The 14,968-nt window shown below is 40.6% G+C and overlaps 1 protein-coding gene across 3 annotated transcripts, besides 5 other annotated features; it reads left to right on the plus strand.

Moving 5' to 3' along the window:
• Positions 1,644 to 14,790, plus strand: MRPS22 (mitochondrial ribosomal protein S22). Of its 3 annotated transcripts, none has more exons than NM_001363893.1 (8): positions 1,644 to 1,848; positions 4,531 to 4,694; positions 5,810 to 5,974; positions 7,829 to 7,972; positions 8,627 to 8,710; positions 10,297 to 10,442; positions 13,332 to 13,440; positions 14,569 to 14,790. In NM_001363893.1, the coding sequence occupies exons 1-8, from the start codon at positions 1,677 to 1,679 to the stop codon at positions 14,662 to 14,664; spliced, it is 1,080 nt and encodes a 359-aa protein (NP_001350822.1). In that variant the 5' UTR covers positions 1,644 to 1,676; the 3' UTR covers positions 14,665 to 14,790. The 3 variants fall into 3 exon arrangements, with proteins under 3 accessions (NP_001350822.1, NP_064576.1, NP_001350786.1); NM_020191.4 differs by having other exon boundaries at positions 1,670 to 1,848; positions 4,528 to 4,694; positions 14,569 to 14,779; NM_001363857.1 differs by lacking the exon at positions 1,644 to 1,848 and adding an exon at positions 2,201 to 2,368 and having other exon boundaries at positions 4,528 to 4,694.
• Positions 1,728 to 1,817: an enhancer, noted in NCBI's record as "active region_20609". NCBI's record gives its function as "activates an Ori minimal core promoter by ATAC-STARR-seq in GM12878 lymphoblastoid cells {active_cell/tissue: GM12878}" and the evidence as "EXISTENCE:reporter gene assay evidence [ECO:0000049][PMID:35858748]".
• Positions 1,728 to 2,147: a biological region, named in NCBI's record as "Sharpr-MPRA regulatory region 3993".
• Positions 1,777 to 2,071: an enhancer, noted in NCBI's record as "tiled region #3993; HepG2 Activating non-DNase unmatched - State 1:Tss, and K562 Activating DNase matched - State 1:Tss". NCBI's record gives its function as "activates a minimal TATA promoter and a strong SV40 promoter by Sharpr-MPRA in HepG2 and K562 cells {active_cell/tissue: HepG2 | K562}" and the evidence as "EXISTENCE:reporter gene assay evidence [ECO:0000049][PMID:27701403]".
• Positions 2,048 to 2,147: an enhancer, noted in NCBI's record as "active region_20610". NCBI's record gives its function as "activates an Ori minimal core promoter by ATAC-STARR-seq in GM12878 lymphoblastoid cells {active_cell/tissue: GM12878}" and the evidence as "EXISTENCE:reporter gene assay evidence [ECO:0000049][PMID:35858748]".
• Positions 2,158 to 2,277: an enhancer, noted in NCBI's record as "active region_20611". NCBI's record gives its function as "activates an Ori minimal core promoter by ATAC-STARR-seq in GM12878 lymphoblastoid cells {active_cell/tissue: GM12878}" and the evidence as "EXISTENCE:reporter gene assay evidence [ECO:0000049][PMID:35858748]".

The following is a 14,968-nucleotide window of genomic DNA, read 5'->3' on the forward strand; positions in this document are numbered from 1 at the left end:
GGAATGTTTACAGTCATCAGAAACTGGAAGAGACAAGGGGCAGATTCTTCTCCAGAGATAGACTCTAAGGGGAGCAGAGCTCCCTTGATTTCAGCTCAGTAATACTGATTTCAGATTTCTCATGCGGAATTGTGAAAGAATACATTTTTGTTATTTTAAACCATAATATTTGTGGTAGTTTGTTATAGCAGCCACAGGAAACTAATGCTAATACAGCAGCCAATGGATTCATTCATCCTGCACTAAGTGTCCAATCAGCTGTGTCCAGGAGGATGTTTACAGGAAAAACATAGCCACTGAGGCCTGCTCCCTCAGCTATGGGAAGAAAGTAGAGGGTTCATTTTCAGAGAAAAGGCATGGGCTGGGAGACACCTGCATTCATCCTGCCACTAGTCTCTGACACCTGCTATCATGTAGGTGTAAGCATTGGGAAGTGCAGGGCAGCAGACTTGCCTAAATAGGCACCAAGCCTAGTGCTCTCCCTTCCCCTCCCAAATAGGGAATGAGTTCATAAACAGCACTGTTAATATTAATGCTAAGTTGGGGGAAAATAGCTGAGGCTGGAAGGTGAGTCTATTCATCCAGCTAAGTCAAACAAGAGTTTACTAACACCCTGTTTTCCCAGGCCTTGGGATAAGTGCTTAGCACAGGCACCAATCTATAGTCTAGAGAAGGATAAGACCTGCACATCCTGGATAGCTGGAAAAAATGTAAAGAATCATTTAATCATTCATTCATTTATTCAACAAAAGTTTGCTGTGCACGTAGATGTACTAGGCTAGGTGATATTGCAATAAAATATGTAGAGTCACTGTGTTCATGGGGTGAGAAAAAGAAATAAGCAGATAAAGAGCAAAATAACAGATTATAAAATGGGCTATAAAGGAAAGGAATAAGTGTTGAGACAGAGAATCAGGTGTATGAATTGGCAGTGGCAGTGGTGGTGGTGGTAATCAGGGCTTGGAGTCAGGAGTTAGATTTAGGGTGCATGTGAGCAGTGTGGATGGAGAAATTTAAGAAGTAGTTGGATTTAAACCTGAGGATGGGGGAGAAGGTTTGGGCAGGAAGTGGAATACATAAATTATGTATTTATTTGAGACAAGAGTCTCACTCTGTCACCCAGGCTAGAGTGTTTGTTTGTTTGTTTATTTGAGATGGAGTCTTGCTTTGTTGCTCAGGCTGGAGTGCAATGGCACGATCTTGGCTCAATGCAACCTTTGCCTCCTCGGTTCAAGCGATTCTCCTGGTACAGGCGCCCGCCACCATGCTTGGCTAATTTTTATATTTTTAGTAGAGACGGGGGTTTCACCATGTTGGCCAGGCTAATCTCGAACTCCTGACCTCAGGTGATCCGCCCGCCTTGGCCTCCCAGACTGCTGGGATTACAGGCGTGAGCCACGGCGCCTGGCCGGAAATTTGTTATTTAGAACGATGGAAACGGGTAGGAAAAAGAGCATATAGGGAAAAAGGTGTAAGTTTTAACTTTATGCATAGGGAAGGACATAAACACCGTCTACTTGTGAATAAGTAGTTTAGAAGAAACAATCTATAAGGGCCCGGAAGACTTCCGGCCCTTTCCGCCTTTAACTAGACTACATTTCCCAGAGTGCTGCAAGAACTGGGTGTGACTCGGAATCCCTCCCAACCACTTCCGGCGCAAGTGGCTTCTGATAATCATGGCGCCCCTCGGAACAACTGTATTGCTGTGGAGCCTCTTGAGGAGTTCTCCGGGCGTGGAACGGGTCTGTTTCCGGGCTCGAATCCAGCCCTGGCACGGTGGCCTGCTCCAACCGCTACCTTGCTCTTTCGAGATGGGGCTGCCACGCCGCCGGTTCAGCTCCGAGGCCGGTAAGTGACCTTCCGGACTTTCGCTGGGGCGTTCTTCTGGGAGACGTAGATCCTGTTTCTGGCAGGCGAAAACCACGCGATAGCCCCCGCGACACGTATCCTAGCGCTTCCTCAGATTCAGCTGTCTTCCTTCTGTACCTGTAGAGTTTGTCATCACCTGCATATCTGTTCATTCGTTCACTCACTCAACTACAGTGCCTGAGTTCCGCTCCGTGCAGAGCACTGTGCTAAGCTCTGTGGGATATGGCAAACTAAGACTGACACAGACATTTCCCTGTGGGAACTCATGTCCATGGGGAATTGGCAGTGCAGTGTGACCCGGGTTGTTATAGGGGACGCACACAGGAGAGGCACTCAAACTAGGTTGGAAGGTCAGGGAAGGGTTCCTGGCAAATATGACCAAAGCTGAGATCTGGTTAGCCATGCTAAGGAGAAAGCAAGAAGCTTCTCAAGCATAGGGGACAGTAGCAGATGTCCAGAAATGAGACTGAGCACAGATATTTGGGAACCCATTTTGGAGGTAGGATTGATAAGGCTTGATTAAGGCTTTGGATATGAGTTTAAAGGGACAAATTAAGATTGTTTCTTAAGTTTTTGATTGGAATAGAGGGTTGTCCCATTTACACCAAGATGAAGAAGATTAATTAATTGTTGGAACCGTTATTTTGGGGGCGGGGGTAGTGCAGGAGTAGATGAGATCAGGAGATGGGAAAGGAGGCGGAATTAAACCTATTTGGGACACATTAAATTTGAGGTGACTTTAAGAGTCAACTGTTTAGTATGGAGTTAAATATAAAGTGAGGAACATCGGAGTAAAAATGGTAACTAAAGGTGAGTGAATGGGTGAGACTGAGGAGAGAGTAGTGCTGAGCACTTGCTGTGTGCTGGATACCCTGAGGAACCCTGGGTGCCAGAGATGAGTATAAGACAAGGTCTGGTCTTCATAGAGCACATCACTTAGTGAGAGACATAGTGTAGGTAAGCAGACCACCTTAACTTTTTTTCTAAATGAGGTTGGAAGCCATTCGTGAATTTTAAGCTTGGGAGTAATCTTGATTACATTTTAAAGAGATTACTCTGGTTGCTCTGTGGAGAATGATCTGTAGTGGGGCCAGAATGGAGAAAGGGAGGCTGATGCAAGAGATGAGGATAGCCTTGACTAGAGTAGTGGCAGTGGGAAATGGAGGATTAAAATGAGATTTATGAAGGCAAACAATCAGTATGTTCTCTGCCAGTGGTGTTTTTTTTTTTGTTTTTTTTTTTTTTTTGTAAAATTGGGATAATCTTCGTGTTTACCTCATGGGTTGTTGTGAGTATTAAATGGGCTGAATGTGTAAAGTACTTAGCTCAGTCAGTATTGGCATGTAGTAAATAGCTAATAAATGGTAGCTCTTATAATTACTGTTATTATTACTACAGCTATTTGATTACTGTTGTTGTTATTACTACTGCTATTGGCTAGATCTGGAGGATCAGGGAGAATTTAGGAATGGCTGTAAGATTTCTGGCCTGTATGGCCTACTGGATGATGCTGAGATAGGGAACAGAAAATGCAGGTTTGAGACAAGGGAAAGTTGATGGGTTCTGACTTGGCAGTATTCAAGTACATGAGAGAGGTTGAGTAATTGGATGGAAGGTGATCTTGGCAGGAGATTCAGATTTTAGAGTTTCTGGCATATAAAGGTAATTGAAGTCGTGGCAGGATAGGAGAAATCATCGAGTAAGAATCTGAGAAGGGAGAAAAGGACATCGTTCAGAATCTGTAGGGATACCAACATTTATAGGAGAAGAAGAGGTGACTAGGAACAAATGGCTTTTTCTTTCTTTTTTGCTAATGGAAATGGAAGTAGAAGTTAGGCAAAGCAATAAGCAAACTGCATGAGGCTGAGCTAAGATTTGATTCTCTGCTTATGTCAAAGGCTCTTCCATGATAACACACGGCCTCTTCAGTATCATGTCCAGTGAACCAAGCCTCTTTCCTAGCTGCAATCTCTTAGCCTAGACTTTCCCTCCCTTTTTTCTCTGCCGTGATGAGGCTCTTGGGACGCTTTCTTTGACCCTGTCATGCCCATCCCTAGTCCAGGCTATGCTTAGTTTCTTCCTCTGCAATCACCCAAGCCCCGTACCTCTCCTGTATACCATACCTCTCACATTATGTCTCCCCACACCTCCCACTTATACCGAGGAGCGCTATGATAAATTGGAAACCATCTAGGATCCAGAACCAGACAAACCTTGGTTTAAATTTTGACTCTATCACTTAATAGCTAGTTGTCTTTGGATAGGCTTCAGCATCCTCATTTATAAAATTGGGTTTATCAGTACCTATTTTGTGAGTGGTTATAAGCATTCCTGAAAATGTGTGTTATACCTGCCATATAGGAGACAGCTCTGTAAGTGGCAGCAACCATTACAGTTATTACATTAATTACTTTATTACTGTTACTTCCTCTAGTAGTCTGTCCTTTTGGCAGAGACCGAGTCTATCTCCTCATCATAATGAGTGCTCAGTAAATCTTAAATGAAGAAATAAATGAATGCATCTCATAGGTATTAGCATTTTGCAGTGCCAAGGTAGACATTGTGCTAATGCTTTTTATTGTTAACTGACTTTTCTATTTAGAGGTCTTGTTAGCTTGTCATTTTTGTCAGCTTCTTATTTACTAAAGTCCATTTTAGCAGAATCTGGTAGCCCAGAGACCAAGAAACCTACATTTATGGATGAGGAAGTTCAAAGCATACTCACGAAAATGACAGGCTTGAACTTGCAGAAGACTTTTAAGCCAGCTATACAAGAACTGAAGCCACCAACCTATAAGCTAATGACTCAGGCACAGTTGGAAGAGGTACGTGAATGCAGGAATATTGTTAGAATACCTTTCTTTAAGGGTTTAAACAACATTTCTAGAGGCCCCTCCAGATGCTTATAGCTATTCTTCCATAGGCACTAGTGAAAGGTAATACCAGGCATAGAACTGAGAAAAGAAATGTGAGTAGGCTGCCAGAGAGGGGCAGGGAGCATGGCTGGAATTGAGCAGACTAGGGCATATGGATCAGGTCTGGGTGTTCAGAGAGTATCCTCTCTCCTCTCAAGGCAGCCTGAGCACCCCTCCTTTTTTCTGCCTGCTCCAGCTTCCTTCCTGGAGAAACATCTACTGTGATCTGCCTTGGGGCTGAAGCTTTGGGGAGATTGTGAGATCCTGCATGGAAACAGCATGTTTTCCAGGCACCAGTGTCCTCAGTACCATGGGTACTGAGTGCTGCGTGGAAAACACTTTGATGTATGAATACGTAAAGCATTAATACTCGTCTTTCTGATTCAAAAGTAATTTATAGTCAGCAAAATATATATATCTCTCTCCAGTAGTAGATTACATGAAGAGTAAAAGTCCATCTTTTCACCTCCTAGAGGTAACTGCTTTTAACAGTATGGCATGAAGCAATGTAGTCAATGGTTAAGAGAATGGGCTTTGAAGTTGGGTTGTCTAGGTTCAAATACCAGTGTTGCAATTTTCTAGCAATTTACTTAACATCTGTATGCCTCTGTTTTTTCTTCTGTAAAATGGAGATGATAACAATTGCACCTAACTCATAAGGTAATTGAGGCCATTAAATCAGCCAAATACATTTAGACTGTTTGAACACTATCTGGCACATAGTAAGCACCCCAAAACTGCATTCTTTTATTCTGTTTCAAGCAGCTTTTGTAGCCTGGCTTTGTCTCAGAGCATGCCTTTGTGGTTTTGATAACGGTTGAGTCTATAGCTGGTGGTCTCAGCCACATCGCAGAGGCAAAGGCCAGGGCTCACAAGTCCAGGTTTGGCTTTTTACTCACTGATTTGTGGCTACACCTTCTTTTCTATGCAGGTTTTTGCATTTTTTATTAGTATGTGCTTTTGTCAGATGATCCTTATATTATGTAACCTTGTGGCTTTCCTTAATAAATATTTTCTTTCATTAGGCTACAAGACAGGCAGTTGAGGCAGCTAAAGTACGATTAAAAATGCCACCAGTTCTGGAAGAGCGAGTACCAATAAATGATGTGTTAGCTGAAGATAAGATTTTGGAAGGAACAGAAACAACCAAATATGTGTTTACTGATATATCATATAGCATACCACACCGGGTGAGTATATGTCTAATCGCAAAATGATCTTTCTTTGAAATACTATGTGGAGAAGGGCTTGAGAGATGATGTGACCTGGCTGTCTCTGATGCGTCCAAACCAGATTTCCTCTGACTGGGTGAGACCCTTCTGGAAGATATACTATATGAGGGATGAGAAATGCAGACCAGCCCCACATCATGGTGTTACCATTTCTCAGCAGATAATAGGCACAGTATTTTCCAGATTCCAGATGTGCTGAGGCAGAACAAGGAGTACACAGATACAGACAGAAACCCATCCCAAACCACAAATGGACAAAAATCTACAAGGCAATGGAAGCAGGAGACTCTTTTCGCCTAAGTTAGATGGATTTCTTTAGCTGAAGCTTTTTGAGAAGATAGAATGTTTCTGTCTTATAAATTCCTTGATGATGCCAAGAAACTCAGGCATCATAAAGGATTTTCGCTTTCCAGAATTTTCAGTAAGAATGACAGATGTTTCTCAGATAATTTTCAGGCATCACCACTTCTTCTGTTGTGATTGTTATTCTCTGGCTCCTCTTTACTTGATTGCAAATTTAAAAGAACACTCTGGCATTTTAGAAATATGTAAGCTTTGTATTTGAGCCTTTGCAAGTAAAGAATAAAAAGAGAATAGTTTACAATTCAGCCCACAGAATACGTTAGAACACTATAGAATGCTGAGTTTAGGAGAAGGTTCACTCCATATTAATCTTTTATTATACATGATTATGGTTAGAAAACGATTTGAGCTATGTTCAACACCAGCCATCTGTATATTTGACATAATGAACATGAGTCACAGAGTTTCAATTTTAATTACAGTTTTTGTTTTGTGATGCTTTAATATATGTTTGCAGTGCTGTGCATGTTGGTTGGGAAGCATTTTGTAACTTGAAAAGGAGAAAGGAACTTGGAATTCAGGTTTCTCAAATTACCAAAATCCTTCTGAGGAAAAATTGTATTATGTTGGCATGTGCTTTTTTTTTTTCGATTGGCAGTGTTGATGGAAGTTTCATCTATGTTATCTTCAGAACACATTTAGAGACTCCTACACCTCTGAAAACTTGAGAGTCAGTACTGTTTGGTTAATTTATACATTAATCAGGTGTGTATCAATTATCAGCAATGTGCAAAGCTCCATGTATGCCACTCCCGGTATTGCAAAAAATTATAATCCACATTTCCTGCCCTTTTCCAGTTATATAACAATATCTGAGGGATGCCAAAAATCTTGTGTGGGGTAAATTTCCAGTTGAATGGTATAAAAAGTAGGTAGAATTTAGAGGAGGAAGTGATCCCATGGCCTGGGAGTTGGCAGTTGGAAGATCGAAGTGACCAGAGACAGTTGGACCAGACAGCCTCTCAGACATGTTTATGTCTAATGCCAATATAAGAAATCATAAAAGTGTAGAAGTAAGACTCCTCATTCTTGGGTTTGTTCTTTTTATCCCAAGGACTTTAAACATAGATCATAAAGTAGTAAAATCTGTTTAGATGAGACTTTGGGATAGAGAAATGAAAGTTTGGAAAGGTCATAGCACTTCTTTCCTCTAAAATGGATATAGATGAATCTCAGCTTTTTTCGTATCGAACTCACGTTAGCACCATAGTTGGTACTTACTGAATACTTTCATTTTAGATTTCTGATTGTCAGATGCACAGCAGTGATTAGTGAAGGAAATATCAAACCTTGCCAAGTCTTTGAGGTTTAAAATTATCATTGATCTCATATGCATGATTGCATTTTATATTGTTGATTGCAAATTATTCTTATAATGGCCTTAGTGGGACACAGGAACTAAAAATACGTCCTCACAAACGCATCCTTGATTATGTTTTTCTATTTTAGGAGCGTTTTATTGTCGTCAGAGAACCAAGTGGCACACTACGCAAAGCCTCTTGGGAAGAACGGGACCGAATGATACAAGTTTATTTCCCAAAAGAAGGTCGTAAAATTTTGACACCAATAATTTTCAAGGAAGAAAATCTTAGGGTAAGGTGACTTAGGTTTTATGTTTTAGAGCCAGTGGTGATGATTTATTTGTAGAACCAGTTGGCTTTGTGCCTTGATCCAGATAAACATTTCTAATGATAACTTGACTTTTTTTTTTTTTTGAAATGGAGTTTCGCTCCTTTTGCCCAGGCTGAAGTGCAGTGGCGGGATCTCAGCTCACTGCAACCTCCACCTTCTGGTTTCAAGTGATTCTTCTGCCTCAGCCTCATGAGTAGCTGGGATTACAGGCGCCCGCCACCACGCTTGGCTAATTTTTGTATTTTTAGTAGAGATGGGGTTTCACCATGTTGGCCAGGCTGGTCTTGAACTCCTGACCTCGGGATTCGCACCCCCCCCCCGCAATCCGACTCCCAAAGTGCTGGGATTACAGGCGTGAGCCACCATGCCTGGCCGACTTCTTTCTTAATAGAATCCTCCTTACCACCCAAGATGGGTTGTACTAGGGTTCTCTCATAATTGGCTTAGCTGGAATTTGAATCTAGGTGTGACAATTACAAAGCCTGTGTTCTTTCTTTATGCTTCTTGAGGAGCACAGAGTGGCCAGTATGTGGGTGGGCAGGCCTGTCATGACATCAGGACAGGTGCTGAACTTCAGTGTTCTCATGTGATGCTAACTCTGCTGTGTGGTTTTAGACTATGTATAGCCAGGACAGGCATGTTGATGTCCTCAATCTCTGCTTTGCCCAGTTTGAGCCAGATTCCACAGAGTATATCAAGGTGAGTAGATTTTAGTTTCTAAAATATAGGCTTAAGTATGGTTATGAGTAAGATTTTTAATCTAGCTCAATGAATTTCGTTGTAAGTTTTGATACAGGGGAAAGGGAAGAGAAATACCTGAAAATCTATTGAGTACAGTTGTGTGCCAGATATATATTTTATAATCACAACAACCCTTGATTAAAGATGAGGGAATTTAAGCTTGTAGAATTAAGTAGCTTGCTGAAAGTTGCATAGCTACTAAGTGGTAGGGTTAGGACCCAAGTTTGATGACAAAGCCTATTCTCTTTTCAGTTTACCGTATAGGAATCAAATTATTTACTAAAATTTTGCTGAAGTACAGTGTGTTTGTCTTACAGCTCAGTAAGTATTCATTAGTACCTTCTATGTGTAAGGTATTATCTTGGGTAGTATAGGTGATGCCACGAACTAGGATAGAGTATGCTGTGCCAAAGCCAGCAGTCCGGATATGGCTGTGGGGAAAGGTGCTAGTAAGTATACAAATAATTATCTCCTCAGGCCTAAAATGCTAGACACTAAGAGAAGATTACAAATTCTTTGAAGAAAGCCTTCATAGGGGTGTAAAGGAGGGTTCTAGAAGTGCAGGAAATGTTGTGGCAGGTGGAGCTGGGTGAGGTGTTTCAGGTAGAGAGAACAGTATAAGCAACAGGCAGGAAAAAAGGAGGCTTGAGAAACGGCCAGTGATCTGGTTTGCTTATATATGCCATGTATATGTAGGGGAGTGATTAAAGATTAAGTTAGGAAGGTGGATGTAGCCACATCATAGGTGACCTCAGATGCTAGGCTGAGGAATCTGGAATTCAGTCAGCAGACCTTTGAAAGCCTTTTGAACAGAGGAATGCCCCCATCAGAACCTTCATTTAGGAAGATCAATCTGGAAGGAGGACTGAAGGACCTTTAGTTAATAAGATGGAATGGGCTAGCTGGTAGAATAGGGTAGTTGATGGGGGGAGGGATAGGGGAAAGGGAGAGTAGTGAAAAAATACTTGATTTCTTTTCTGCCATAGTGACCAAGAAGTGGGTGCTACATTATTTCCAGTGGTCTCTATATGCATAATCGGTGCTTAATAAATTGTAGTTGGCCTGCCAAAAAGTACTTAATATGGCTATAAATGTTTGGTATTTTGCTTCAGGCTGCCACATACTTCTACAGTGGAGAAGGCACAGACTTGCTGTCATTTAGACAAATTCTTCTCTTTTAATTTTTTTAAAGACAGGGTCTTATTCTGTGGCCTGCCATGCCCAGCTAATTTTTTAAAAAATTTTCCTAGAGATGAGGACTGCTCAAGCAGTCCTCCCACCTCAGCTTCCCAAAGTGTTGGGATTATAGGCATGAGCCACTGTGCCTGGCCAAAATTCTTTCTTAATAGAATCCTCCTTCCCACCTAAGGTGGGTTGTACTAGGAATGGTTTAAATCATACCAATTGGTTAATGATATGGAGGCAACTGTAAGTAGACCTGGTTTTACTTGCTTGGGCAGCACTCATGCTAATCAGTGTACGTTGAATAATGCTGCATACTTCTTATTTTCATGTTTCTGAAGAGTTGCATTTTATGTGGATAGGTTCATCACAAGACCTATGAAGATATAGATAAACGTGGAAAATATGACCTTTTACGTTCAACAAGATACTTTGGTGGAATGGTGTGGTATTTTGTAAATAATAAAAAGATTGATGGTTTGCTGATTGACCAGATTCAGAGAGATTTGTAAGTATGATCTTAGTAAGTGAAAGAATCATTCTTATTGCTCTAACAGTTCATCTGTATTTAGGCTATGGTATTTTTCCAGTGATAACAGTGTACTGTCTAGTGCTTGCTTACCTCAGTTTATGGATTTGTTCTTTTAGTATAACCTAGCTCTCCTAGTTTTTGCTTTTATATAAAGTGTAAGTAAGCCACTTACTTTCTCTTGAAAGAGTAAGTGGCTTTGGATCTGTACTGTAAACCCTCAATATTAACTTATCCTGAGCTCACCAATGCTCCTGGGTTGCTGAACTTTCCAGATACCGAAAGGGGGATTAAATAGGAAATGTAAAGAAGTAGAAATAAGCTCTGTGGTTGTTTTCTGGTAGAACTATTTCTAGGGCTTTTCAGTAAACACCATCCTTTAACTTATGAAAATACTTTTGATATCCCTTGCTTTTGCAAGATTTTTAAGGCATGAAAAAGTTAGCTTCTTTTCAGAGTAGCATGAAACAAAAAATACCTGTTGTATTTTAGCATCAAGCTGGTGTGCTCCCAGGCTTCTAGCTGGAAATAATAATACAACTTGTGGTAAAACTGAAGAGAAAATAGTTTTTGAGCATCTTTCTATCAGTTGATTTAGGAAGGCCAAAATGACAAGGAAGCAGCATGGCTGTAGTAAGAAAGTCAACTTTCCACAAAAAGCCCTTGCTGGACTCAAGTCTGAACTACAAGACAGTTTTGAGATTATTGCCACCTTCAGACTGTTAGTTTTTGACTCGCAGAGTATCCTAACATGTAATACAAACCATATACACAAAGGTAAGGCATGTGGAACTGAAAGTTCCACAGAACTTATTTTCAGAATAAAATCAGCCCATACTTGGAAAAAGGGCATCATTTCTCATAGAAACAATATTCCTAATGATGATGATTTCCAGGCTAGCCCATTTCACCAGCATATGTAGTGTAATAAAAATCAGAGGGCAGAAATATACCTTCATACCCCATAATTGGGGGCTGGTGTTGATGGGGATGCTCAAGTGACTTGTCTTTATGTACGTTATCTCCTGTGAATGAATTTTCCACTTATAAAGTTTCTTGAGTTTAATCATTCTGAAATTGCTTTATTATTAAAACAGTATGTTCTTACAAAAAATTAGAGCAACGCAGAAATGTTTGAAAATTAAAGTTTATTAGGATATATTAATGTATGATATTATAGTATTACTCATCACATGTAAGCTTTACATCTGAAGCAATTCATGCTTACTGGGAGGGAAGTTTGAGTACTTACTTAGCTTTTCCTGCTATTCCTAGGTAAAGGCCCTCCTGTGGTCATTCTGAACAGAAGAGTGAGCTTACTGCAAACCACAGGCTGGACAGTAGAGGGTGCATATCCTCACTGAGTGGAGCTCAGAAAAGAATTAGGATTCTGCACACATTTATTCCAGACTCAGTTCCCACTGTTGGTTTTTATATTGAGATTATTTTAAAATCTTTTCGAAATATAATTTATTTGCTCTTTAAGTATGGGTGGGGTGTTAAGCTAAATTTAAATTGTTCTGTGAGGCACAGGCATTATACTTAAGCATGAACCTAATGAAGCCCTGAACATACCAACAGGTAGCAGTCCAGTTAAGCTCTTTATAAGGCCACATGCCTAAGCTCCAAAGGGAATCTTAATTTTTTATTGGGGAGACATTTCGTTACTACATTTAGTGGACTTTGTTAGATTATAACAAGCACAATAGATTTGTGATGAACATTTTTTATTTTTTTCCCCCTGAAAAGCTTTATGATACAACAGCTCTGTTTTCCTGAGAGATGGCCTTTAGGGTAGATGAGCCTCAGTATAAGCCCAGAGCATTTCTCTAAGGCTACCAAGGCTTGAGGAATTCTGTACTTACTCCCACTGTCACCCTGCTCTTCATCCCCCAGCTCAGGTAAGGGGAACGCAGGGAAGGCTGAAGAGTGCTAGCTGCGGAAGCACTGAATTAGGGTGTCCTCAGCCCTCCATTCCCAACTGGAAGCCAGTAGTTCACTTAGTGTATATAGCAGAGCCTCAAAAGCACAAGCATTTTGAGTGTCGTTTTTCTGTGCCCTCCAGCGATGAGATGGCAAATGGTGGGAAAGTGTCAGCTGTGTGAAAAGATAGTGATTGTTTGGTTTTGCTAGGACAGTTTTAATGTTGATAAAAATTGTTTATACATTTCTGAGAAGTACAGACCAGAAGAACTGAATTCTTGTTCTGTCTTCTTCATAGGTAGTTGTGTGATGCTGAAGTTAAGACAGATTGCTGATGTAGAACCCGATTTTCCTTTTTGTCTGATGTGTGTGTATAATTTCAAATTTGCTTCACTAGGATGCTATTTTACTAATGCGTTCCTGTGAATCCTTTCCTTGGAATCTTAGGGGGCCTCTTGTAGAGGCATTTGTCTGTTAGCAAATGTCACTTAGAGGCAAGTGACTTTGAGATCCCTGTGACCACCACCCTCCTGCTTATGTGGGATGAAGCTGTGTTTCTGTCCTCTGAGTTGGATTAGACTATTACATGCTGGTGAAGTAAGCTGGCCTGGAAATTGTCTACCATTAGGAATGCTGTTTCTGTGAGAAATGGTGCTCTTTTTCCAAAAAGAATATAGCCACATTTGGAATATATTCACTTTCATAAATTGGACACTTCCTGCAGTGACTCCTGCCCTAGCTGCCTCACGGAGTTGGTGTGAGGCCTAAATTAGTCAATTTTCCTGAAAATGCTTTTGAAACTGTAAAACTGAAGGTCCTTCCCCAATCCCTCCAGCCTGAGGAAAGTCTGAAATGTAATTTAGTTTGAAGTTGGCACACACTTTTATAGGACTGTGAATCAAATGAAGAAAACCCCTAGATAACATTAAACCCTTTCATTCTCAGAATCGATGATGCAACCAACTTGGTCCAGCTGTATCACGTGCTCCATCCAGATGGCCAGTCGGCTCAAGGGGCCAAGGATCAGGCTGCTGAGGGAATAAATTTAATCAAGGTAAAGTTTTTTTTTCATATTGGTTGTTTTGTGGTGGTAATTGAGCTGGGAAAAATTCAGAATTGGGTCATAATTAATGGTAACTAAACAGATTTGTGAATATGGGACATCTGTGGTCTTGAAAACATCAGTATGATTTGTCCCCATATTTCTTCAGCCTGGACAATAGAAACAGACAGGGGAGGGGGGTAAAGTGCAGTAAAGTAGGTTGAGTGATGTGGTGCTAGCAGCTGGAGTCCAGAGAAGTTCTGACAGTGCAGGGAGCAGCCCCTTTGTTCTTTGGAGCACTGGAAGGGCTGAGCTGCATCTGAGGTGTTCAAGCCACCAACAGGACAGGGTAGAGGACTAAGTAGCACATGTCCCCCAGAGCAGCTTCCTGTCTTTGTGTGGTCACATCACATCGGGGGAAATGGGCATGTGTCAAGAAGTGGAGAGTGTGATGCTTGTATATCATCAAGCCTTAGCTGTATTGTCATTTTGGAGCTGCATACCTCTCAAAACCATGGGCTTATGTACATTTATCTGTAAGTGCTGAGAGTTGAGATGATATTTTCAGGAAGGGAAGGGGAGGAGATTGTATAATTAATTTCATCTCTTCTAATGCTCAGAATATACATGGTTTTGTGGAACTGGCTTCTATCCTAGTAATACTGTTTGCATGCTGCAAAGCTAAGGAAACAATGACCTGTGATGACATCCTAGGAAGAGTAGAGAGAAACTACAGTACTGATTTTCTTTATGAACCTGATAAAGCGCAATGTTTTTGGAGAAAATATTCTTTAAAGTCAAAAGTTAGTTTGGTAACTCTTAGCCTCCAGATTTCTCTCTAACCTAATGGTTTTTGTTTTGATCTCGAAGGAAGTATTAATATTAATACAATGTCAGGGTCTTAATTGGATACTTCTGGTGTTTAGAATTAGTATTGCTTGAAATGTGTTGGGTATTGTTTTTCTGTCCATGTGTGTTTATTAATTATTGTATAATCGGGGGAAAAATTGTGAAATCTGAAAGCCCTTTTTAAGTAGGACTCTTTGCTACTACAGAAATGCTAATGATGTCTTAAAACTGAAAAACTTTATAAATAGCATATGTCCTATTGTTTTAAAATTTTCTTTTTAATTTAAACAGGTCTTTGCAAAAACAGAAGCACAGAAGGGAGCCTATATAGAACTAACACTGCAGACTTATCAAGAAGCACTCAGTCGCCATTCTGCAGCTTCCTAAAAATATTTTAAAAATACATTTATTTTACTAAATACTGACTACATTTCTCTGTTAATATTGAGCTAAATGTTAAAAAATGGCCAGATTAAAAGATATCAATTTGTAGTTCTCCCTACAAAGCAAAAATTATTACCCTACTCACTTTTCGTAGGCTACAAGGATATTTGAGTGCCTGGTTATGAATTTCTCAAATCATGTTAGATGAGCGTACGGTTAAAAAGTCTGGTGTGTTTTTGTGTTACCAAATAGGGCAAACGTTAACTTAGACAGACCCCCAGCTTAATGAGGTCAGAGGAACAGAGGT

This window comes from Homo sapiens, chromosome 3 (genome assembly GCF_000001405.40).
Source record: "Homo sapiens chromosome 3, GRCh38.p14 Primary Assembly".
In the NCBI taxonomy this organism is placed as follows: domain Eukaryota; kingdom Metazoa; phylum Chordata; class Mammalia; order Primates; family Hominidae; genus Homo; species Homo sapiens.